The sequence below is a fragment of the Homo sapiens genome, chromosome 5 (genome assembly GCF_000001405.40).
Source record: "Homo sapiens chromosome 5, GRCh38.p14 Primary Assembly".
Taxonomy (NCBI): domain Eukaryota; kingdom Metazoa; phylum Chordata; class Mammalia; order Primates; family Hominidae; genus Homo; species Homo sapiens.
Genome location: NC_000005.10, coordinates 132,920,554 through 132,946,607, shown reverse-complemented (window position 1 = coordinate 132,946,607; position 26,054 = coordinate 132,920,554). Strand labels below are relative to the sequence as shown.

Below are 26,054 nucleotides of genomic sequence, written 5' to 3'. Positions count from 1 at the left end.
TAAGTAGAATCATACAATATGTGTCCTTTTGTGTCTGACTTATTTCACATAGCATAACGTTTCAAGGTTCATCTATGTTGTAGCATGTATCAGAATTTCATTCCTTATGGCTAAATAGTATTCCATTATGTATGTGTGTATATATACCACATTTTGCTTATCCGTGTTGATGGATCGTCATCTGTTGATGGACATTTGGGTTGTTTCCATCTTTTCGCTATTGTGAACAATGCTGCTATGAACATTGGTGTACATGGATCTGTTTGAGTCTCTGCTTTCGGTTCTTTTGGATATATTCCTAGGAGTAAAATTGCTGGATCCTATGGTAATTATTTGTTAAAGTTTTTGAGGAACTGCCAATCCATAGCAGCTGCACCATTGCATATTCCCACCAGCAGTGCACAAAGGTTACAATTTGTCTGCATCCTCACCAACACGTGTTATTTTGTGTTTTTGTTTTTATCATAGCCATCCTAATGGGTGTGGAGTGATATTGTGGGTTTTTTTCTTTCACTAAACTTTACTTGTTTATTAATTTATTTTTTTTGAGACAGAGTTTTGCTCTTGTTGCCCAGGCTGGAGTGCAATGGTGCAATCGTGGCTCACCACAACCTCCGCGTCCCGGGTTCAAGCAATTCTCCTGCCTCATCCTCCCGAGTAGCTGGGATTACAGGCTTGCGCCACCACGCCTGGCTAATTTTGTATTTTTAGTAGAGACGGGGTTTTTCCATGTTGGTCAGGCTAGTCTCAAACTCCTGACCTCAGATGATCCGCCTGCCTCAGCCTGCGAAAGTGCTAGGATTACAGGCGCGAGCCACCGTGCCCGGCCTGTTTATTTTTATTTTTATTTTGAGATGGAGTCTTGTTCTGTCGCCCAGGCTGGAGTGCAGTGCAGTGGTGCAGTGTTGGCTCACTGCAACCTCCACCTCCCAGGTTCAAGCAATTCTCCTGTCTCAGCCTCCCAAGTAGCTGGGATTACAGGTGCCCACCACCATGCCCAGCTAATTTTTGTATTTTTAGTGGAGACGGGGTTTCACTATGTTGGCCAGGCTGGTCTCGAACTCCTGATCTCAGGTGATCCTCCTGCCTTGGCCTCCCAAAGTGCTGGGTTTACAGGCGTGACCCACCATGCCCAGTGTTGTTTGTTTTTAAAAGTAGGCAGTCAAGTGTGGGAGTGAGAAGGGGTCAAAGACTAGAGCAAGGGGTTCAGTCTATAACTTGACTGTGAACAATCAGTTGAGATAACTGACTACCTTCGAACCAGCCTCTCATTAAACTTTGTTTCATGGGTCTCAAAATTCTGAGACAGATTCTTGGTTAAGTCGCTTCCATTGAACAGTACTGATTTTAAAAACTAGTAATTTAAAACTGCCACATGAAAAAAACTGAAAATGGATCACAAAACAGTCATCTTTTCCTTCTGAAGATTTCACCATGCACTGTTATCATTAACCAGTCTTTTACTGTTAAACTTAAATGGCCAATCGAAACAAACAATTCTGAGACTGTTCTTCTACCATTGATTGAGACTGGGGTGGCAGGTATTAGGGATGATATTCATTTAGTCTTCCGAGCTTTCTGGGCAGACTCGATGATATTGCCAGGTCCAGGAGCCTTCTTGTCCACTGTTTTTGTTTTTTTAATTAAAAAAAATTTTTTTTTCTTTTTTTTTTTTTTGAGATGGAATTTCACTCTTGTTGCCCAGGCTGGAGTGCAATGACATGGTCACGGCTCACTGCAACCTCCACCTCCCGTGTTCAAGTGATTCTCCTGCCTCAGCCTCTCAAGTAGCTGGGATTACAGGCGCCTGCCACCATGCTTGGCTAATTTTTGTATTTTTAGTAGAGATGGGGTTTCACTCTGTTGGCCAGACTGGTCTTGAACTCCTGACCTCAGGTTGTCCGCCTGCCTCAGCCTCCAAAGTGCTGGGATTACGGGCGTGAGCCAATTTTAAATTTTTTGAGAGAGAGTCTCACTCTGTCACTCAGGCTGGAGTGCAGTGATACTACCTTGACTCATTTGAACTTCCACCTCTCAGGCTCAAGCATTCCCCAGACCTCAGTTTCCTGAGTAGCTGGGACCACAGACGCATGCCACCACACCCAGCTAATTTTTTGTATTTTTTGTAGAGATGGAGTTTCACCATGTTGCCCAGGGTGGTCTCAAACTCCTGAGCTTGAGTGATTCTCCTGCCATGGCTTCCAAAGTGCTGGGATTACAGGTGTGAACCACCGTGCCTGACCTTCTGGCCTTATCCTCTGTTTTTTTTTGGAGACAGAGTCTCGCGCTGTCGCCCAGGCTGGAGTGCAGCGGCACGATCTCGGCTCACTGCAAGCTCCGCCTCCTGGGTTCACGCCATTCTCCTGCCTCAGCCTCCCGAGTAGCTGGGACTACAGGCGCCCGCCATTACACCTGGCTAATTTTTTGTATTTTTAGTAGAGATGGGGTTTCACCGTGTTAGCCAGGATGGTCTTGATCTCCTGACCTTGTGATCTGCCCTCCTCAGCCTCCCAAAGTGCTGGGATTACAGGCTTATCCTCTGTTTTGATGACACTCACAGCAACTGTTTGTCTTACATTATGAACAACAAAACAACCCAAAGAAGGATAGTCAGAAGCTCTCAACACACGTGTGGGCTTGCCAGGAATTTTATCAAAGATGGGAGCATTACCAGATTTCAAGAATTTAGGGCCATCTTTCACCTTACCAGAATGGCAATCCGTCTTTCCCTTCAGCTCAGGAAACTTGCAGGCAGTGTGAGCCATGTGGCAATCCATTACAGGAGCATAGCCAGCACTGATTTGGACTGGGTGGTTCAGGATAATCACCTGAGCAGTGAAGCCAGCTGCTTCCATTGGTGGGTCATTTTTCCTGTCACCAGCAACATTGCCATGATGAACATTTTTGACAGATACGTTCTTGATGTTGAAGCCCCCATTGTTCCCAGGAAAAACTTCACTCAAAGCTTCATGGTATATTGCAACAGATTTGGCTTTAGTTGTAACATTGACTGGAGCCAAGGTGACCTCTATGCTGACACCAGTCTCCACTTGGCCTACAGAGATAGTACCAATACCACCAATTTTGTAGATATTTTGGAGAGACAGACACAAGGGCTTGTCAGTTGGACAAATTGGTAGTAGGATGCAATCCAGAGCTTCAAGCAGGGTGTTTATACTGGCATTTGCCATCTTTACAGGTGACTTTCCATCCCTTGAACCAAGGCATGTTAGCACTTGGCCACAGCATGTTGCCATCATTCCAACCAGAAATTGGCACAAATGCTACTGTGTTGGGGTTGTGGCCAACTTTCTTATTGTAAGGGCTGACTTCCTTAACCATTTCCTTGTATCTCTTCTGTTTGTAGGGCGGCTAAGTGGAATCCATTTTGTTAACTCCAGCAATTAGCTGTTTCACACCCAGTGTGTAAGTCAGAAGGAGATACCAGCTTCAAATTCACCAGCTGCAACAATCAGGGTAGCACAGTCAGCCTGAGATGTGCCTGTAATCATGCTTTTTAAAAAATCTTTGTCTTGGGGCGTCAACTAGTTACATAATACTTTCTGGCCTCAAGTTTCCGCAGGGAACTGTCATCAGTGCCACCACCCTCACACTCAGCTTTCAGTTTATCCAAGACCCAGGTGTACTTGAAGGACCCCTTTCCCATCACAGTAGCCTTGTAGAGACTGGGTCTCATCATGTGGCCCAAGGTGGTCTTGAACTCCTGAGCTCAAGCGATCCTCATGCCTCGGCCTCCCAAACTGCTGGGATTACAGGCATGAGCCACTGCACCCAGGTGATAAATGGTATTTTGTCAAGTGGCAGGATTAATAATATCTGACATGGGCCGGGTGCAATGGCTTACGCCTCTAATTCCAGCACTTGGGAGGCCGAGGTGGGTGGATCACCTGAGGTCGGGAGTTTGAGACTAGCCTGACCAACATGGAGAAACCCCATCTCTACTTAAAATACAAAATCATCCTGGCATGGTGGCGCATGCCTGTAATCCCAGCTACTCGGGAGGTTGAGGTAGGAGAATCACTTGAATCCGGCAGGCGAAGGTTGTGGTGAGCCGAGATGGTGCCATTGCACTCCAGCCTGGGCAACAAGAGCGAAACTCTGTCTTTAAAAAAAAAAAAAAAAAAAAGGTCAAAAGGACTGAGTTCAGGGGGCTTCCAGAAAGGTAACCTAGAACATGTTCATGTAGTGAGAGGGTGGCACACCTTTCTCCAAGGGAATTGAAGCTCCTTCACCATTGTACATCTTGCCTCTGTAACTCTTCATTTGACGGTTTATTTATATCCTTTAAAATAACATTTGTAAGAGCCTAGTAACCAGGTTTCCATTAATTCTGTGAGCTTCTCCAGCAAATTATTAAAACTGAAGGAAGGGGTTGCAGAACCCTGATTTTTAGCCAGTTGGTCAGAAGCACAGGTAAAAACAACCTGGGACTTGGGATTGACATCAAAAGTGGGGAGCAGCCTTGGGGACTGAACCCTCACTCAACCTGTGGGGTCTGACAGTATCTCCAGGTAGGAGACAGAGAACACCCAGCTGGTATTTTCTGAAGAATTGATTGCTTACTTTTTTTTTTTTTTTTTGAGATGGAGTCTTGCTCTGTTCCCCGGGCTGGAGTGCACTGGTGCGATCTCGTCTCACTGCAACCTCTGCCTCCTGGGTTCAAGCGATTCTCCTGCCTCAGCCTCCTAAGTAGCTGGGATTAAGGCATGTGCCACCATGCCCTGTCAATTTTTGTATTTTTAGTAGAGGAGGGGATTCCCCGTGTTGGCCAGGCTCATCTCAAATGCCTGACCTCAGGTAATCTGCCCTCGTTGGCCTCCTAAAGTGCTGGGATTGCAGGCGTGAGCCACCGCGCCTGGCCAATTGCTTGCTTGTGCGTGCGAAAAAAAACCCCACACATCTGGTGTTAGAAGGATGTTGTGAGAGTATTGTGTGAGAAACTGAGTTTGTTGGCTGGGCACTGTGGCTCACACCTGTAATCCCAGCACATTTGGAGGCCAAGGTGAGCAGATCTCTTGAGATCGGGAGTTGGAGACCAGCCTGGGCAACATTGCGAAACCCTGTCCCTACAAAAATACAAAAAAAGTTAGCCAGGTGTGGTGGTGTGTGCCTGTAATTCCAGTTATTTGGGAGGCTGAGGCATGAGAATCATTTGAACCTCGGAGTCTGAGGTTGCAGTGAGCTGAGATTGTGCCACTGCTTTCCAGCCTGGGAGATAGAGTGAGACACTGTCTCAAAAAAAATAAAAAAGAAAAGAAAAGAAACTGAGCTTGTTTATTCCTGTATTCTCATAGCTATAAAATAGTTTTGCCCGTTTGACAAAGATATACTTCAGATTGACTCATTTAAATTTCATGTTAACGTTGGAGGAGTTGAAATTACTGGAATTATTGCTTTTGGAGAAAACTTATTTCATCTTAGCCAGAGATAGTGATGGTAAGAGACACAGGAGGCAAAAAAAATCGAACCAATATATTTGATACAAAAAGATCAGAAAAAAATAGAGAATAAGCACTATAACTGGTATATTAATTTTTTCTTTTCTTTCTTTTTTTTTTTTGAGATGTAGTTTCGTTTTGTCACCCAGGCTGGAGTTCAGTGATGCAATCTCAGCTCACTGCAACCTCCGCCTCCTGAGTTCAAGCTTTTCTCCTGCATCAGCCTCCTGAGTAGCTGGGATTACAGGCACCTGCCACCATGCCTGGCTAATTTTTGTATTTTTGGTGGAGATGGGGTTTCACCGTGTTGGCCAGGCTGGTCTTGAATTCTTGACCTCAGGTCATCCGCCTGCCTCGGCCTCCCAAAGTGCTGGGATTACAGGAGTGAGCCACAGCACCCGACCTAATTATTACAGTGAGTTAATTTAGTTCTTAGCTTCCTGGTAGCCTTATAAGTGTTCACTTGTGTGACTTTGATTGTTTAAAAAACCAGTTTCTTTGACATTGAATTACAGAAAGAATTTTATTATAGGAATCACCTATTTTTACAAGAGATATAGAAATACTTCTTGAATGATTATTTCAGTGCTGCTCAATCTATAAAATAAAATCATACTTTATTTTTTGTTTTTATTTTTATTTTTTTTTGAGACGGAGTCTCCCTCTGTCGCCCAGGCTGGAGTGCAGTGGTGCGATCTCGACTCACTGCAAGCTCCGCCTCCCGGGTTCACGCCATTCTCCTGCCTCAGCCTCCCGAGTAGCTGGGACTTCAGGCGCCCACCGCCACGCCCGGATAATTTCTTTTTATATTTTTAGTAGAGATGGGGTTTCACTGTGTTAGCCAGGATATCTCAATCTCCTGACCTTGTGATCTGCCCGCCTCCGCCACCCAAATTGCTAGGATTACAGGCGTGAGCCACCGCACCCGGCCTTTATTTTTATTTTTTTGAGATGGAGTCTTGCTCTTGTCACCCAGGCTGGAGTCCAGTGGTGCGATCTTGACTCACTGCAACCTCCGCCTCCCAGGTTCATGCAGTTCTCCTGCCTCAGCCTCCTGAGTAGCTGGGATTATAGGCACCTGCTACCACGGCAGGCTACTTTTTTGTATTTTGTAGTAGAGATGGGGTTTCACTGCATTGGCCAGGCTGGTCTTGAACTCCTTACCTCCAGTGATCCGCCCGCCTTGGCCTCTCAAAGTGCTGGGATTACAGTTGTAAGCCACCGCTCCTGGCCTTAAGCCAAAGTTCAGGCTCATGCCTGTAATCCCAGCACTTTGAGAGGCCAAGGCAGGCAGATCACCTGATGTCTGGAGTTTGAGACCAGGAGTTTGGCCAACTCGGTGAAACCCCATCGCTACTAAAAATACAAAAATTAGCCGGGCGTGGTGGCAGGTGCCTGTAATCCCAGCTACTCAGGAGGCTGAGGCAGGAGAATCAATTGAACCTGGGTGGTGGAGGTTGCAGTGAGCCGAGATCGTGCCATCGCACTTCAACCTGGGGGACAAGAGCGAGACTTCGTCTCAAAAAAAAGAAAAAAGAAGTTGCAGATCTTTCAGGATTTAAATTTAAGGAAACTGGTAGTTAACATATTCCTTAGTCTCTCAGGTATAAATAACTTTGTATGTTGGCAGAACCATAGCCCAAGAGGCCTATTTGAAGCCTGGTTGTTAGTGATATAAAACTATTACTTGGTTCAAATGTGATGGAGTATAATATGTTCTTTGGTTTTGTTTTATGAATACTTAAGTTTTGTGGTATTCTTTAAAGATTGAAATAGAGTTCTATAGAGTGCTAAGTATTAGCGAAACCAAAGAAATCCTGTTTAAGCTTATTAGAAAATTGTATACATTAAGCTTATTAGAAAATTGTATACATACAAAACAATTTGAAAACATATCTGAAACACTTAGAACATTCTTTTTTTTTTTTTTTTGAGAAAGGGTCTCGTTCTGTCTCCCAGGCTGGAGATCAGTGGCACAATCATGGCTCACTGCAACCTCTGCCTCCTGGATTCAAGTGATTCTCTTGCTTGAGCCTCCCGAGAAGCTATTACAGGTGTCCACCACCACACCTGGCTAAATTTTATTTTTAGTAGAGATGCAGTTTTGTCATGTTGGCTAGGCAGGTCAAGCGATCCTCCCACCTCGGGTCCCTTTTTTTTTTTTTTTTCTAAACATTAAATTGCCTTTTTTTTTTTTTTTTTTTTTTGAGATGAGTCTCTCTCTGTCGCCCAGGCTGGAGTGCAGTGGTGCCATCTCAGCTCACTGCAATCTCTGCCTCCCGGGTTCACGCCATTCTCCTGCCTCAGCCTCCTGAGTAGCCGGGACTACAGGCGCCTGCCACTGCACCTGGCTAATTTTTTGTATTTTTAGTAGAGACGGGGTTTCACCGTGTTAGCCAGGATGGTCTCGATCTCCTGACCTTGTGATCTGCCCACCTCGGCCTCCCAAAGTGCTGGGTTTACAGGCGTGAGCCGCTCAGGCCGTTAAATTGCTTTTATTGCATGACACTTAGTATGCAAATCAGGAGGTTTTAATTTTAAATGTTTGCTTTCACTAGTTCTAACCACTGATTAAAGTCCTCAAAAGTACTTGGTTGCTCTCATGCCTGTAATCCCAGCACTTTGGGAGGCCAAGGTGGGAGGATCACTTGAGGTCAGGAGTCCAGCCTGGCCTGGCCAACATGGTGAAATCCTGTCTCTACTAAAAATAAAAAAATTAGCCAGCCATTGGCATGCACCTGTAATCCCAGCTACTCAGGAGGCTGAGGTAGGAGAATCGCTTGAACCCGGGAGGCATAGGTTGTGGTGAGCTGGGAGATCGCACCACCGCACTCCAGCCTGGATGATAGAGCAAGACTCTGTTTCAAAAAAAAAAAAAAGAGTATAATACTGCTTTGTTACTAATTCTAATTTTATAATTATAGTTTCTGATGAACTTTAATTTTCTGATTTGATTTATGAATTATAGGCCAGAAATGCTCCACACATATAACCTGATTGTTTCTTTCTGGGCTCCAGTGAGCCTTTTTTTTTAAAAAAAAAAACAAAACCAGGTCTGATTATTTAATCTGTCTCCAGGGAAGAGTGTTGCAGATTCCCTGGTAATCCCTAGTGCCAGAGTTTGCCAGCCTTTACTACCATTGTCTGTTTAATCAAAATCCTTGCTGCTATAAATTGGCTGTATTTCTCTTGGTTTGTTCTAGTGAAAATAAGACAAACTGTCCTGATTATAGAGATGGGACTTCCATTTTCCCCTCACTCCAAAGACTTCCTTTTTCAATACAAGTTTAGTTGCTGTTACTAATCCAAGTTAATTTTTGATTCTATCACTGAAAACCTGGGTTTTGCCATTTATTGAGGTGTTAATTGAAATATTAATATATTTAGAGCAGAAATGTCGTTTTTTAGGGAATCTAGAGCAACAGCAAAGCTGAGGTCAAACTACCGTAAGGATGGACACCAAGGAAGCTGTGTTTGGGACAAAAAGAAATCAAGATAAGGTAGATGCAAAGTAGAGAAAAGAACTGGACCCTGGGGGGAAGGGTGGTAGTTGGGAGTGGGTTATATGCTTCTAAGGGCAAAGAATAGGCAGATTTCTGAAGAGGAGGGCCCAAAAGGAAATACTGAGGATTTGTGTTCAAATACTACGTTCCCTCTGAATGTACAAGTTTTTGCTTTTAGCTAACAGAGTACTTCAAACATTGATAAGGTTAAGTGTTTTGTTGGGGTGGGTTCTAATATTCTGGGCTAGTGTTTCCTTGGAATAGTTGTGGAAGACACTATTGGTATTTGTTGATAAAACCATTACCAAAACCCAGCTTCAGCACTAATGCCTGTTATTACTTGGAGGTCAAAAGGGAATCTGTGATTGAAGTGTTAAGCTGACAAAATCTGTACAGAATATTTAATTTTTCCTTTTATTTCTGTGATACAAAGATTGTGTTTCTTTTCATAGCAACATGAACCGTGAAGACCGGAATGTGCTGCGTATGAAAGAACGGGAAAGGCGGAATCAGGAAATTCAGCAGGGCGAAGACGCCTTCCCACCTAGCTCTCCTCTCTTTGCAGAGCCATACAAAGTTGTAAGTTGCCCTTCTGTGAATGTTTTTTTCCCATTAGCATGACATTTTTGCTTTTAAAATGTTTCACACTTGAATGTTTATATTAGAAAAGAATTACTATGAATACCACTTAACATTTTTTTCCTGTCCTTTACATAGAAGATATTTTTTGGGGATAAACTTTTCTTTGGAGTATATTATGCTTACAGAAAAATACACAACATAGGTATTATGGCTTGAAGAATTTTCACAGCATCAACAGCTTCATACAACTCAGATCAAGAAATAGAGCATTACCAGCACCCTAAAAGTCGTTTTCCAACCCACCTCCTATTGCTGTCCTGTGTTCTTAAAAATGTGGTCTGAGTTGGCTCATACATTTACCTCTATTTTCCTAGTTGTGCTACTAACCATCGGCGGGTACTTCACCATTCTGAATTTTGAATTAAATTAGAATTTTGTAACTCAATTTGCATTGTTTGATTTTTCCTAGGTGTTCTTTAAGTGTGATATCAATAAAAAATGAATATTTCATAGATGCTTTTGTTTCTTCTCACTGCCATTTGCTACTTAGTTTACAAAGTTTCAGAGATTATTAGTATGTTTGAATAAATGTGTCTTCAGTATCAGTCTGATTTCTTTTTCTGTTGTTATAGACAGTCATTTGGGTATCACTTTTTTCATTAAATTTTTGTTTCTGCTTCTAACTATAACATTGAGTTATGAGGAATATAATATTTTCATAAACTGCCAAAATACGAATGTTAGCTAATCTGCTGGACTGTGGAAGTTAATTTTTTTTTTTTTTTTTTTTTTTTTTTGAGACGGAGTCTTGCTCTGTCGCCCAGGTTGGAGTGCAGTGGCGCGATCTGGGCTCACTGCAAGCTCCGCCTCCCGGGTTCACGCCATTCTCCTGCCTAAGCCTCCAGAGTAGCTGGGACTACAGGCGCCTGCCACCATGCCCGGCTAATTTTTTGTATTTTTAGTAGAGACAGGGTTTCACCATGTTAGCCAGGATGGTCTCGATCTCTTGACCTCATGATCCGCCCGCCTCAGCCTCCCAAAGTGCTGGGATTACAGGCCTGAGCCACTGTGCCCAGCTGGAACTTAATTTTATAAAGGCAGATTACTTTTCTGTTCTTCAAAAGTTTTTTTTTTTTTTTATGAGAAGGAATCTTGTTCTTTCGTCTAGGCTGGAGTGCCATGTCATGATCTCGGCTCATTGCCACCACTGACTTCTGGGTTCAAGTGATTCTCCTGCCTCAGCCTCTCGAGTAGCTGGGATTACAGGCGTGCACCACCTTGCCGGGCTAGTTTTTTTTTTTTTTTCGGAGATGGAGTCTTACTGGAGTGCAATGACGCAATCTCTGCTCACTGCAACCTCTGCTTCCCGGGTTCAAGCGATTCTCCTGCCTCAGCCTCCTGAGTAGCTGGGATTACAGACACCCGCCACCACGCCTAGCTTATTTTTGTATTTTTAATAGAAACGGGGTTTCACCATGTTGGCCAGGCTGGTCTCCAACTCCTGATGTCAGGTGATCCGCCCACCTTGGCCTCCCAAAGTGCTGGAATTATAGGTGTGAGCCACCATGTCTGGCCACACCCGGCTAACGTTTGTATTTTTGCTAGAAATGGGTTTTCACCATGTTGGCCAGGCTGGTCTGGAACTCCTGACATCAGGTGATCTGTCCGTCTTGGCCTCCCAAAGTGCTGGGATTACAGGTGTGAGCCACTGCACCTGGCCTTTCAAAATACTTTGTGTATTTAAAAGACAGTCTTGCTATGTTACCCATGCTGGAGTGCAGTTGCTCTTCACAGGTGAAATCATAGTGCACTGGAGCCTCAAAATCTTGGAATTGAGCAAACCTGCCTCAGCTGCCCAGAGTAGCTGGGAGTACAGGCACGTGCCACTGTGCTCGGATTATATTTTACTATGGTTATTTTTAGGCACTTTTCAATGATTTTTTTTTTCACTACAGAAATGATATATTTGGAGTTTGCTTCAAGGTATTAACGTTAAGATATGAGGTAAAGCCTCCCTTTGAAAAGCCCCTTTCCATTCGAAGTTTGGAAAATTAGTTCAGAATTATATTTTATTTCTGATTATGCTCATTTTATAATTTTATTTTATTTTATTTTTTTGTAGACTAGCAAAGAAGATAAGTTATCAAGTCGTATTCAGAGTATGCTTGGAAACTACGATGAAATGAAGGATTTCATAGGAGACAGATCTATACCAAAGCTTGTTGCAATTCCCAAGCCTACAGTACCACCATCAGCAGATGAAAAATCTAACCCAAATTTCTTTGAACAGAGACATGGAGGCTCTCATCAGAGTAGCAAATGGACTCCAGTAGGACCCGCACCCAGCACTTCTCAGTCTCAGAAACGGTCCTCAGGCTTACAGAGTGGACATAGTAGCCAGCGGACCAGCGCAGGTAGCAGTAGTGGCACTAACAGTAGTGGTCAGAGGCACGACCGTGAGTCATATAACAATAGTGGGAGCAGTAGCCGGAAAAAAGGCCAGCATGGATCAGAACACTCCAAATCACGTTCTTCCAGCCCTGGAAAACCCCAGGCTGTTTCTTCATTAAACTCTAGTCATTCCAGGTCTCATGGGAATGATCACCATAGCAAGGAACATCAACGCTCCAAATCACCTCGGGACCCTGATGCAAACTGGGATTCTCCTTCCCGTGTACCTTTTTCAAGTGGGCAGCACTCAACTCAATCTTTCCCACCCTCATTGATGTCAAAGTCCAATTCAATGTTACAGAAACCCACTGCCTATGTGCGGCCCATGGACGGACAGGAGTCCATGGAACCAAAGCTGTCCTCTGAGCACTACAGCAGCCAATCCCATGGCAACAGCATGACTGAGCTGAAGCCCAGCAGCAAAGCACATCTCACCAAGCTGAAAATACCTTCCCAACCACTGGATGTAAGTCACACATTTAGAGCTTTTAACATTGTGACTACGTGAAGCAATTGACTGATCATGAAATTACGATTGAACTTGAACACTGCTTCCTTGCCTTAATAGTAAGGAATGTAAAAGTTGAAAGATGAAAAAAATGTAAAGACAGACTTGTGAGTTACTCCCAAGTGGATGCGTAGATCTGTTAACTCGTCCTCTTGGGAAATGGAGAAAATGTCATTCACAGTTTTCAAATACTTAGATGACAAGTCAGTTATAGAATAAAAGAATGACTAATTGATATCTTAGATTTCTGCATTTTGATTTTATAGAACAATATACCTTTGTTGTTGTTTAAAAACAAAATTAACTTTTCTATGCTTAGATTGATACTAATGAATGAGATGCAGGTGATGGTTTATGGTTATGATAAATGGGACTTTTGGGTCTGTGGAAATAGTAATATTGTATACTTTGAATGCTATGATCCTTTTCTCTGGTTATACTTAAAGGATTAAGACAGCTGCTCCAGGTTCATAGTGATGGTTTGAAATTTAAATTGAATTGCTTACCAAAGCATTTTGGAACATTTCATTGTGAAATAGCTGAAATTATATCTTTTTTTTTCAAGATGGGTGTCTCATAATGTTGCCCAGGCTGGTCTGGAACTCCTGGCCTCAAGCGATCCTCTCATCTTGGCCTTCAAAGTGCTAAGGTTACAGACATGACCATCATGCCTGGCCCAAATTTTATCTCTCTCTTTTTTTTTTTTTGAGTTGGAGTTTCGCTCTTGTTGCCCATGCTAGAGTGCAACGGCACGATTTCGGCTCACTGCAACCTCTACCTCCCAGGTTCAAGCGATTCTCCTGCCTCAGCCTCCCGAGTAGCTGGGATTACAGGCATGTGCCACCATGCCCGGCTAATTTTGTATTTTTAGTAGAGATGGGGTTTCACCATGTTGGTCAGGCTGGTCTTGAACTCCTGACCTCACGTGATCCGCCCGCCTCGGCCTCGCAAAGTGCTGGGATTACAGGCGTGAGCCACCGCGCCTGGCCCCAAATTTTATCTTTTAATGTAGTTTGTGCAATAAAAAAAAATTTGGAAAGTGACGTCAGTAGCCAAAAAATTACAACTCTTAGCTCAAAATGGTGGAAGGAAGAATCTGCGTAATGTAAAATGCTGTTTTGCAAACATTTAAAACATCTTTCCAGTGGCCTTGGGAAACTCATTTTGAGTGGCATTTGTTATCTGATTACTCCTCTCAAGAGAACAGTAAAATGGTAATTTGTTCTTTCCTTAAACAACATGATCTTTAGAGTTTGACTTGAGTTCGGCTCTCTAATTCCTGTTTGTGCCTTAGAATAAGCAATTTGGTTTTTGTGACTTAGAAAGACTATGTAAAATGTCCATGTTCCAGACTAGTAATCTTTCAGTAATACTTGTTTAACCCATTTATGCTTGGTGTTCCATTATTGGAATGCTAAGCTCGTAGGAGTTACTTACGTCCTACTGCTCAAGGTCATCGCTAAGGTACGATTTTTCACACAAAAAATTTGCAGCCTCTGGCATAAATGGGTTAACTTTGTTTATGTGAAATGATGTATCTCAGTATCATGATATGTTTTATATATAGGTAAGATTAAATTTTTAGACAAGCTGCACACCTGAAAAATTACATTCTAAAAATTATTTCTAATCTAAAATATAGGATAAAAAACTTAAAACCTTTGAAAACTATAAAGTTCCCCCAGCTTTGTATAGTTTGGTGATTAAAATTTTCTGGTGCTTGAAAAATTTATATTTAAGGAAATTAATCCAAAGATTCTAACCAGTGTACTGATTTAGAGTAGTGGGGTCATAAATACTTTTAATAATGTTTTTAAATCTGTGAAGCAAATACTAAAAATCTACTGATAAAAATCTAATGTGTGCTGCTTTTTCTTTCAAGGCATCAGCTTCTGGTGATGTGAGCTGTGTGGATGAAATCCTAAAAGTAAGTTTTTTAAAAAAAATCATTTCAATTTCTTTAATTTTTTATGCTCTGCCACCTTCTTACCCTCTTTCTACCTGTATTTCACAAAGGATCTGAAGCAACAGATTGCTTATATTTGTAACTTGATTATGTCCATCATAAATAATTTACTCTCTTCTTTGTTTACCATTTGCCTTCAGAGAGCTAGTTTTGTTCTTTGTGTTTTTTTTTGTTGTTGTTGTTTGTTTGTTTTTTGAGATGAAGTCTCACTCTGTCGCCCAGCCTGGAGTGCAGTGGCGCGATCTTGGCTCACTGCAACCTCCACCTCCCAGGTTCAAGCAATTCTTTAACCTTAGCCTCCTGAGTAGGTGGGATTACAGGCTCCCGCCATCATGCCCGGCTGATTTTTGTATTTTTGCGGAGTTGGGGTGGCCAGGCTGGCCTGGAACTCCTGACCTCAGGTGATCCACCTGCTTCGGCCTCCCAGAGTGCTGGGATTACAGGTGTGAGTCACCGCGCCTGGCCGCGTTCTTTGCTTTTAAGTAAAATAAATTTTAATCTTAACACTTACTTTGCCTGGAAAACATTAACAAGCCAATTATAACTGTACTTTCTCATGCTTAACTGTTAATAATTTGAAGTGCAAAAAACTCAGTAGTTATCAGTCAAACCATTATGATCAAAATACCTTGCTTTGGTTCATCTTGTACATACTGGTCAAATCTTACAGTAATAGATTTCCTTCCAGTTTTGCACATTTATTTTTTCTTGATATGGAGTCTCACTCTGTTACCCAGTCTGGAGTACAGTGGCATTATCTAGGCTCACTGCTACCTCTGTCTCCTGGGTTCAAGCAATTCTTGTGCCTCAGCCTCCTGAGTAGCTGGGATTACAGGTGCCCACCACCATGTCCAGCTAATTTTTGTATTTTTAGTAGAGATGGGGTTTCACCACTTTGTCCGGGCTGGTCTTGAACTTCTGACCTCCAGTTACTCCCCACTCCCCCATCCTCCTGCCCGGCCTCCCAAAGTGCTGGGATTATAGCCTGAGCCACTGCACCCGGCTGCTTTACACATTTTTTTTTTTTTTTTTGAGCCAGAGTTTTACTCTGTCACCCAGGTTGGAGTGCAGTGGCGTGATCTCAGCTCACTGCAACCTCCGCCTCGCAGGTTCAAGTGATTCTTCTGCCTCAGCCTCCTGAGTAGCTGGGATTATAGGCATCTGCCACCATGCCTGGCTAATTTTTTTTTTTTTTTTTTTTTTTTAGTAGAGATAGGGTTTCACCATGTTGGCCAGGCTGGTCTGGAACTCCTGTCTGCCTGCCTTGGCCTCCCAAAGTGCTGGGATTATAGGTATGAGCCACCACGCCCAGCCAACATTTTGGGTATTTAATGACACATGTTTAAAATTGACACATGACCAAAAAGTACATTACTCTATTGGAAAAAGAGAAAGTCCAGTGAATTAGTGAATGACAATGACTACTTTTTGCTTAGTAGAGAAAACTGTCAGTCACATATTACTTGTATTTTCTTTTTTATTTTTTTTTGTGAGCTCCTGAATTTGTGTCTATACTTAAATTCACTGTGAACACCTTTGAAAGACTACCTGCATTGGTTGCTTCCACTCTTTTCTTTCCCATTCCTTCCTTTAGCCCACTATAATCTCCCTTTTACCTCTGCCATTTTGCTGAACCTGTTTCTCTATGGTCATTATCTTTCTCCCTCCATCCAGAGGCATCATTTGAGTTCTTTTTTATTCTTTCTGCTATGTATTTTTTCCTTCTGCAAACATTCTTCTTTCCTTGACTGTTTTTATGCTTCATTGTTTTTATTTGCCTTCCACCTTTCTTGCCTCTCTTTCTTTGCCCTTTTTGGAACCCTTGTGCCTTCTCTTGTTTCTTAAGTGCAGGTGCATTCTTCTAGCCTCTGCTCTTTGACTTGCCTTTTCCACCATTCTTGGCTTTATCTCTTAGACAGCTATTTAGTCTTTCTGTCCTACACTGGCCTTTGGGTTTTGGTTTGTCTCTTAATTGCTTCTTAGCTGAGTTTCCATTTGGATTTATTTCTCTTTGCCTCTTCAGACTCAACATGTCTAAAGCCATACTTATCAGACTTCCTTGGATTAGTAGTACACCGTTTTCCCATGCTTGTAACTGTAGAATCCTAAATATCTCTAATTTCTTCCTCATGTTCTATGTAGTTGCAAAACTAGATGTAGACTTTAAAATTTTTGCTTTTTAAATATCCATTCCTTTCTTCCCGTTTCTGCCGCCTTGAGCTTCAGTAATTATAACAGAGGCCTCATTCAGCCTTTCTGCCTCCAGAATCTCCCTACTCATATGTCTTTTGCATTGCTACCTGATTCTTTACTTCAGGCCCTGTGGTCTTCATAAATTAATTTTTCCCTAAAAATTTTCAGTGGCTCTCTAAGATTATAGAAAGAATAGTATCCAAATTTAATATCCGCAGGCCAATCCTAACCTCTCTCATTACTGACTGACCGCTTTTGCTAAACTGGTTTCCCTAAGCCACATACATTCTTTCTCTTTTACCTCCTTAAATAAAGTAAGCTTGGAATGTATTTCTCCTCCCTCTTCAGTTATATATAGATTTTTTTTCCCTGTAATCCCAATGAAATACTTCTTCCCCCGTATCAGATTGTGAGACCACAGTGATAGCTCTTTCATTTGAATCTCATTCATTTCTTAGTTGCCATGTATATAAAAAGTGTAAGGGAGCATAAATATTTTCCTCTGAATCCTCAACAGTTCATAGAATTATTAGTATGTGGAAGATTTTCTTACATTTAATGATCTCTTTAATGTTATTGACATCCATATTTTATATGTGCAGGGGCTTGGCACTTGGCCTTTAGTTAATAGGTGCTCAGTCATTCGATGATAATTGGAGAATTAAATCAAATTTTCAGTTGAGAGTTTTGATATTTGAGATATAAAATGCCAATGTTAAAAACCTGAGTTTATGAATTTTTGTTTCCTTTTCCCTTTCCTGTCTGTAGTATGCAAGGAACTTCAGGTGTGTGTTCCCTTCATGTTTTCTTTGTATTTGTAGTCATATCATTTTTAGGAACCCCATCATGAACTTAAAAAAAAATTCACTCTAAATGTATATTTATTGAAAAAATGATTTATTCAAGGCATGCTCATTAAGCACCTACTTTGTGTCAACCACTGGGAATACAGTGGTCATAATGTTATGCCTTTGAGCTGATATTCTAGAGCTGGATGTAGGAAGCAATCTATTACATAATATTATTTCAGGAAGTGAAATTCTATTAAAAATCAAAGCATTTTAAGGGAATAAAGAGCAATTATGTGCAGGTGGCTGTTTTAAGAGGTTCAAGTAGTAATATATCAAGTGCCCTTGTCTCTTCCTTCTGTCATTCTGTTGCCCAAAGCTAAACATTAACTAGGACGTAGACTGATTTGTCTTTGTCACTTAATAAAATACTGTGGACATCATTACATATCAACAGTTAAATTTCTCATTTTAATGTCTGGTGTTCTATTTTATAGATGTCTGGTAATTTATTTAATCAGTACTGTGTTGGTGTCAACCTAAATAACAGAGGCTCTCTGAAAGAAAAGATGATGGGAATAGAGCATTGCAGTGGAAATACATGTGCCATAGTAGTCTATGGTCATATTCAAAGAGGTAAAGAGAGACAAAGGTTTTTGAAGGAAAAAATGAGGAAGATTACATAATTGTTTTTGAAATAATTATCCTTGGCTACAAAGATCACTAGTAAGGATGACACCAGTCTGAGGTCGGACAAGCTGGACAGATGTCCTTGTGGAAATATTTTTTTGGTTTAAGGTTTTGATGACCTTTGTGCAAGGTTGTGGTTTTTGTAGATTTTTTTGTTTATCAGGCATACAAGCATGAGAAGCCTTTCTTCATGGTCTTTCCCAGCTCAGGGTGTTTTGGGTTTTTTTTTGTTTGTTTTTTTGTTTTTTTTTAAATATATAAACATTAGTGACTCCATTTTGATTCTCACAACTTTCACATTGACTACCTAGGTTGTTTCAGTTTTTGAAGTGTGAGCCCCTTATACGTATATCTTTACAAAACTGTGTGGATATTGCTATGGGATAAATTCCTAGGTGTTACACCACTGTTAATTTGTTGCATTTCCTTAATTTACCTGATGGCTTACTTTGAACTAAATGCCAGAAATAATATACTCTCTCCTTATTCTGATACTTCTGTCTCCTTGGCTTATCTAACATACACATTGTAATCTTACCAGACCTCACCCAGACATATTTGGCATTAAGATTAGGCAGAAGGCATTGAATGAAATCAAACTTAGGGTCTTGCTTTTCTGTTTTCCTCCTCATGTGCTTTTGAAATTTCTCTTCTGATTTCTTCCCCTGACAAAATTTTTCTACGAGTATATATAGGCTCTATAGCCAGACTTTTGAGGATGAAATATAATGTTCATTATTTACTAAGTGTATGGCCTTGAATAAATAACTTTTGTGCTTCAGTTTCATCCTAAATAGAGGTAGGATAATAATGGTATCTACCTCATAATGTCATTGTGAGTACTAAATGAGTAATAAACATGTAAAACACTTAGCACAGTGTCTGGCCCATTCAAGGTACACAGTAAATGTTAGCTGTTTTCCTTATCATTGTCCCTTCCTCCCACTCTCCTAGCAAGCTCTTCCTGATTAGCGTTTTATTATGTGCCTTGTATTTGATTACAGGCTGATTTCTGTAACTATTCACAGGTTTCATAATTTGAATTGTAAACTCCTCAAAGCCAGGGAGCATTTATTAATCTTCTTATTACCTACACCATAGTGCCTAGCACACAATTGTGCTTAATATTTATTGACTAAGTATGTAGAATTTTGGAGGAGCTGTCATGAAACCAGTATTTATAAATACAAATCTGGTTTTTAGCTGTATAATTTTTATCCTTGACCTGGTTGAAAACAAACTGTAATAATTACATTTCAGGAGATGACGCATTCATGGCCTCCCCCTCTAACGGCTATTCATACACCATGCAAAACAGAACCTTCCAAATTTCCTTTTCCAACTAAGGTAAGTAAATAAAATGTATCTTTCATAATGTAAGAAAACTCTAAATGGCTTGACTAAAATCATATGGATTAAAAATTGTCTTGCCATTCCTATTCTAGTGGGAGACAGACAGTAAATAAGTGAATAAATAGATAAATTCAGATAGTGACAACTGTTATGAAGATAATTAGCAGGGTAATGGAACTGAGAGCATCTTGGATCAAGAGGTATTAAGAAAGCTTTGAAGGCAATATGCGAGAGAGATTTAAAAGACATTAATACAGCCGGACACGGTGGCTCACTCCTGTAATCCCAGCACTTTGGAAGGCTGAGCCAAGAGACTCTCTTGAGGCCAGGAGTTTGCGACCAGCCTGGTCAACATAGCAAGACCCTGTCTCTACCAAAAATTGGAAGGAAAAAAAAAAAAAAAAAAAAAAAAAAGCTTGGCATAGTGGCACAGGCCCGTGGTCCCAGTTACTCGGGAGGCTGAGATGGGAGGATCACTTGAGCCTGGGAGGTCAAGGCTGCAGTGAGCTGTGATTGCACCACAGCACGCCAGCCTGGGAAACAGAGCAAAATTCTATCTTAAAAAAAAAAAAAAAAGACAGTGGTATTTATTGCAGACTATTATGGTATTGTAGGCCAGAGGTGGTAAGGGCTTCTCAAACTGTTGTTTTAAGAACCTGTTTCCATAAGACATAGCAACCATACTTGTCCCGTGGAAAGAGGTTCCTCAGATAACAGTTCCAAGGTTGTTTAAAATCAGCAGATTGACTTTTTTTTAAACTTATACTTAACAGTATTAATTTACACTTAAAACAAATAATACAGAAATACATTCTCCTTGTGAAAGTTTTACCAGTCCCCCTAATAATAGCCTTTCCCCAATTCCGTCCCCTTCATCCCAACAGAGCTCCTTTCCTAAGTACCTTTGCAAGTCTTTTTTATATTCATGTAATACATATATAATCATTACATGTAAGCATTTTCTTATTTATTTCTACGCAAATATATTGTTCTGTATCTTTCATCAGTCAGCAGTAGGTCTTGGGGACCTGTCCATGTTACTGCATGTAGAGGTATTTCGTTTCTTTTTATTGCATCTTTAGTGTTAATATATCCTAGTTTATTTAGCCATTTCTCTTTGGTATTTAAGCTGATAGCAAGTTTTCATTTCTATAAATGTTTCTTCAGTTGGTATCTTTGTTGGTGCCTTCTGTGTGCATGTGATTTTCTTTAGGGTAGAAAGCAAAAAGTAGAATTGCTGAGTGTTGAGAGTATATATTTAATACATACACTCACAAATTCCTTCCATAGTTCTATTACAGGATTTGTACCAGCCAGTATTCCCACTTGTATTACCTGTTGTTTCACACATGCACACCACCATTTGATATTATTAAACAGCAGTGTTTTGAGTAAAAATGGCATTCCATTTGCTTGATTGCTAGTGAGGTTCATCATCTTTACATATTTGTTATCCATTTGGTTTCTTTGTGGGTAAATTTGCTTATTCTCACTGTCCTTTGGGTTGCATTTTTTACCTATTGAGTTTTAGGTGGTCTTCCTTTTTTGTTTTGTGTTGTTTTGTTTGAATTGTGGATTCTAATAATTTCTTATACATGCTGAAAATTTATCTACCAGTTAGATTCTTGTCTTTTTATTGTCTAAAGTTTTTAATTTTTGATGAATAAAATATATCTTTCTCTTCCTTTATAGTTTTTGCTTTTAATGTCTTGTTAAAGAAGACTTTTCTTTCTCTAGGATCATAAACATACCCTCTTATTTTTATTTTAATGTGGTTTTTAGTTTTATTTTTTATGTTTACCTTTGTGAATGATGTCAGGTAGATTTAAAAATTTTCTGTCTATATGTGTGCCATATCACTCTTACCTTTTATATCTTTGTTTACATATACAAAATGCACCGGTATTTATTTATTTATTTATTTATTTATTTATTTTTCTGAGATGGAGTCTCCCTTTGTCACCCAGGCTGGAGTGCAATGGTGTGATCTTGGCTCACTGCAACCTCTGCCTCTTGGGTTCAAGCGATTCTCCTGTCTCAGCCTCCCGAGTAGCTGGGACTACAGGTGCCCGCCACCACGCCCAGCTGATTTTTGTATTTTTAGTAGAGACAGGGTTTCACCATGTTGGCCAGGCTGGTCTGAACTCCTGACGTCAGGTGATCCACCCGCCTTGGCCTCCCAAAGTGCTAGGATTACAGGTGTGAGCCAACGCACCTGGCCAATGCACTGTTATTTAATGTGCAGTTTGAGTTTTGTTTTTTGTTAGTTTGTTTTGAGATGGAGTCTTGCTGTGTCACCTGGTGCGATCTCGACTCACTGCAACCTCCGCCTCCTGGGTTCAAGCGATTTTCCTGCCTCATCTTCTTGAGTAGCTGAGATTACAGGCACACGCCACCACGCCTGGCTAATTTTTTGTATTTTTAGTGGAGACAGGGTTTCACCATGTTGACCAGGCTGGTCTCGAACTCCTGACCTCAGGTTATCCACTTGCCTTTGCCTCCCAAAGTGCTGGGATTAACAGGCGTGAGCCACCGCGCCCAGCCTGCAGTTTGAGTTTTGATAGATATGTGCACCTGTATAACCACCACCATAATTAGGAATTAGAACATTTCCATCACCCCCAAATTTCTTCATGTTCCTTTGTAGTCTCCCTCGCCTCCACCACTGTCCCTATGCAATTTCTGATCTATTTTATGTCACTCTAGATAAGTTTTGCTTTTTCTAGAATTTCATGTAAATGGAATCAGTACATCATGTGCTTCTTTTATATATTTACTTTCTTTTGCTCAGTATTTAGTTTTGTAATTCTTCCATGTTCTTGATTATATCCATGGTTTCTCTTTTTCTTTTTCTTTTTTTTGAGACAGAGTCTCAGTCTGTTGCCCAGGCCAGAGTGCGGTGGCATGATCTCGGCTCACTGCAACCTCCGCCTCCTGGGTTCAAGCGATTCTCCTGCCTCAGCCTCCTAAGTAGCTGGGATTACAGGCATGCACCACCACGCCTGGCTGATTTTTGTATTTTTAGTAGAGACGGGGTTTCATCATGCTGGTCAGGCTGGTCTCAAACTCCCGACCTCGTGATCCACCTGCGTTAGCCTCCCAAAGTGCTGGGATCACAGGCGTGAGCCACCACGCCTGGCCCAGTTTTTCTTTTTTTATTCCCAATCAGTATTTTATTATATGGAAACACCAAAATTTGCTTCCTGTTGATGAGCATTTGGGTTATTTCCAGATTTAGACTGTTAAGAATAAAGCATCTATAAACATTCATGTTTTCTTTTATCCTGGGTAAATACTGGGTCACATAGTAAAAAGTAGAATTGCTGGTTCATAGGGTAAGTGCATGTTAAATTTTACTTATTTATTTTATTTTAATTTTTTAGAGACTGAGGTCTTGCCTAGGCTGGTCTTACCTAGGCTGGAGTACAGTGGTGTGATCATATAGCTCACTATACCCTTGAACTCCTGAGCACTAGCAATCCTCTCATTTCAGCCTCTTGACTACCACGCACTACAGGTGCTTACCACCATGCCAGACTTACATAGAGACGGGGGTCTCACTCTACTGCTCAGGCTGGTCTCAAACTCCTGACTTCAAGCCATCCTTCTGTTTCAGTGTCCCAAGCACAAGCTACTGTGCCCACCACTAAATTTATAGTAAACTGAAAACTAACTCACTCACTCACTGACTCCCTCCCTCCTTCCTTCCTTGCTTTCTCTCTCTCTCTCTCTCTCTCTCTCTCCTTTCTTTCCTTTCTTTCTTTGCGACAGGGTCTCACTTTGTCATCCAGGCCGCAGTGCAGTGGCGGGATCATGGCTCATTGCAGCCTCGACCTCCCAGGCTCAAGTGATCCTCCTGCCTCAGCCTCCTGAGTAGCGGGAACTACAGGCATGCACCACCATGCCTGGCTGACTTTAAAAAATTATTATTATTTTTTTGAGACAAAGTTTTGCTCTGTTGCCCAGGCTGGAGTGCAGTGGTGCAATCTTGGCCCACTGCAGCCTCTGCCTACCAGGTTCAAGTGATTCTCCTGCCTCAGCCTCCTGAGTAGCTGGGACTACAGGTACGCACCACCACGCCCGGCTACTTTTTTGTGTTTTTAGTAGAGGCGAGGTTTCACCATGTTGGCCAGGATGGTCTCAATCTCCTTACCTCCTAATCTGCCCACCTCGGCCTCCCAAAGTGCTGGGATTACAGATGTGAGCCACTGTGCCCGGCCCCCATTCTTTTTAATTACTAAGGTAATATTCAGTTATGTGGCATCATAATTTACCTAATTATCTACTAATGGACATTTGGGTTGCTTCTAGTTTTTGGTTTTTTTTTTTTTTTTTTGAGATGGAGTCTCGCTCTACCGCCAGACTGGAGTGCAGTGGCGTGATCTTGGCTCATTGCAACCTCCACCTCCTGGTTTCAAGCAATTCTCCTGCTTCAGCCTCCCAAGTAGCTGGGACTACAGGCACGTGCCACCACGCCTAGCTAATTTTTGTATTTTTAGTAGAGACAGGGTTTCACCATGTTGGCCAGGATGGTCTTGATCTCTTGACCTCGTGAGCCGCCTGCCTCGGCCTCCCAAAGTGCTGGGATTACAGGCATGAACCACTGAGCCCAACCTCATTTTTGGTTATTAAAAATAAAGCTGATGTGAATATTTGTGTATAAATCTTTGTATAAATGTATACTTTTATTTCTTTCTTTTTAAGACAAGGTCTCTGTTGTCCAGGCTAGAGTGCAGTGGCATGATCATGGCTCATTGCACTCACGAACTCCCGGACTCAAGCAGTCTCTCACCTCAGCCTCCCAAGTAGCTGGGACTACAGGTGCATGCCACTATGTCTGGCTGATTTTTGTATTTTTTTGTAGAGACGAGGTTTTGCCACATTGCTCAGGCTGCTCTTGAACTCCTGGGCTCAAGCGGTCCTCCTGCCTTGGCCTCTTAAAGTGCTGAGATTACAGGCGTGAGCCACTACATCTGGCCTGTTTTTATGTCTGTATTATAAATGCCTATTAGTGGGGTGGTTAGGTATATGGTAGGTGTCTATGCCTCACACCTGTAGTCCTAGTACTTTGAGAGGTTGATGTGGGAGGATCACTTGAGTCCAGGAGTTTGAGACCAGTGTAGGCAACATAATGAGACTCTGTCTCCACAAAAAATTAAAAAAAAAATTACCCAGGCATGGTGGCACAGGCCTGTAGTCTCAGCCACTCAGGATGCTAAGCTGGGAGGATTGCTTGACTGCAGCTGGTTGAGGCTGCAGTGAGCAGAGATCATGCCACTGCTCTCTAGCCTGGGTCACAGAGACTGACTCTCTCTGGGGGGGAAAGAAAAAATTAGAAAACAACTGTCATGCTGGGCGCAGTGGCTCACGCCTGTAATCCCAGCACTTTGGGAGGCCAAGGTGGGTGGATCACCTGAGGTTGGGATTTGAGACCAGCCTGACCAACATGGAGAAACCCCATCTCTACAAAAAATACAAAATTAGCCAGGCATGGTGGCGCATGCCTATAATCCCAGGTACTTGGAGGCTAAGGCAGGAGAATCACTTGAAGCTGGGAGGTGGAGGTTGCAGTGAGCCGAGATCGTGTCATTGCACTGCAGCCTGGGCAACAAGAGCGAAACTGTCTCAAAAAAAAAAAAAAGAAAAAAAAAAGAAAACAACTGTCATACTATTTTCCAAAGTGGTTGAACCATTTTTTATTCCTGCCAATGGTATATGAGAGTTCCACTTGTTCCATGTCCTTACTAACACTTGATATTGTCAGTCTTTTAAAACTTTAGCCTTCTAGCAGTATTATAGTGGTACCTCATTGTGATTTCAATTTACATTTCTCTAGAGACAGAGTATCTTGAGCATCTTTTCATGTACTGATTTGCCATTTGCTTATCTTCTTTGGTGCAGTGTCTGAATATTTTGCCCATCTTTGGTGCAGTGTCTGAATATTTTGCCCATTTTTAAATGGGCTAAGATTCTTTTTTTTTTTTTTTTGTGACAGAGTCTCGCTCTGTCGCTCAGGCTAGAGTGCAGTGGCGCGATCTCGGCTCACTGCAAGCTCCGCCTCCCGAGTTCACACCATTCTCCTGCCTCGGCCTCTCGAGTAGCTGGGACTGCAGGCGCCTGCCACCATGCCTGACTAATTTTTTGTATTTTTAGTAGAGACGGGATTTCACCGTGTTAGTCAGGATGGTCTCGATCTCCTGACCTTATGATCTGCCCACCCCGGCCTCCCAAAGTGCTGGGATTATAGGCGTGAGCCACTGCGCCCGGCCTGAAATGGGCTAAGATTCTTACTGCCATTATCATATATGTGATTTGAAAATTTTGTTTTCTTGCTCTGTGGACTACCTTTTCATTCTCTTAATAGTGTCCCTCTAAGAACACATGTTAACTTTTATAAAGTCCACTTCTTCAGTGTTTTCTTTTACGGGTCATGATTTTGGTGTCTATGAAATCTTTGCCTGGCTGGGTGAGGTGGCTCTTGCCTGTAATCCTAGCACTTTGGGAGGCCAAGGTGGGTAGATCACTTGAGGTCAGGAGTGTGAGACTAGCCTGGTCAACAAG

General features: G+C 41.8%; 1 protein-coding gene and 1 pseudogene across 4 annotated transcripts in view; one reads left to right on the top strand and one right to left on the bottom strand.

The window, feature by feature from the left end:
• AFF4 (ALF transcription elongation factor 4) overlaps positions 1–26,054 on the top strand; it is an 88,240-nt gene that overhangs the window by 17,027 nt on the left and 45,159 nt on the right. Inside the window, exons 2-6 of one of the 4 annotated variants that reach the window (XM_005271963.6) lie at positions 8,868–8,959; positions 9,415–9,541; positions 11,667–12,461; positions 14,386–14,430; positions 19,401–19,487. In XM_005271963.6, the coding sequence (XP_005272020.1) occupies positions 9,419–9,541; positions 11,667–12,461; positions 14,386–14,430; positions 19,401–19,487 (1,050 nt within the window). In that variant the 5' untranslated portion in view covers positions 8,868–8,959; positions 9,415–9,418. The remainder of the gene's footprint in view (positions 1–8,867; positions 8,960–9,414; positions 9,542–11,666; positions 12,462–14,385; positions 14,431–19,400; positions 19,488–26,054) is intronic. The other 3 variants (NM_014423.4, XM_047417103.1, XM_006714587.5) reach the window with 3 other exon arrangements.
• Positions 2,532–3,679, bottom strand: EEF1A1P50 (eukaryotic translation elongation factor 1 alpha 1 pseudogene 50; annotated as a pseudogene).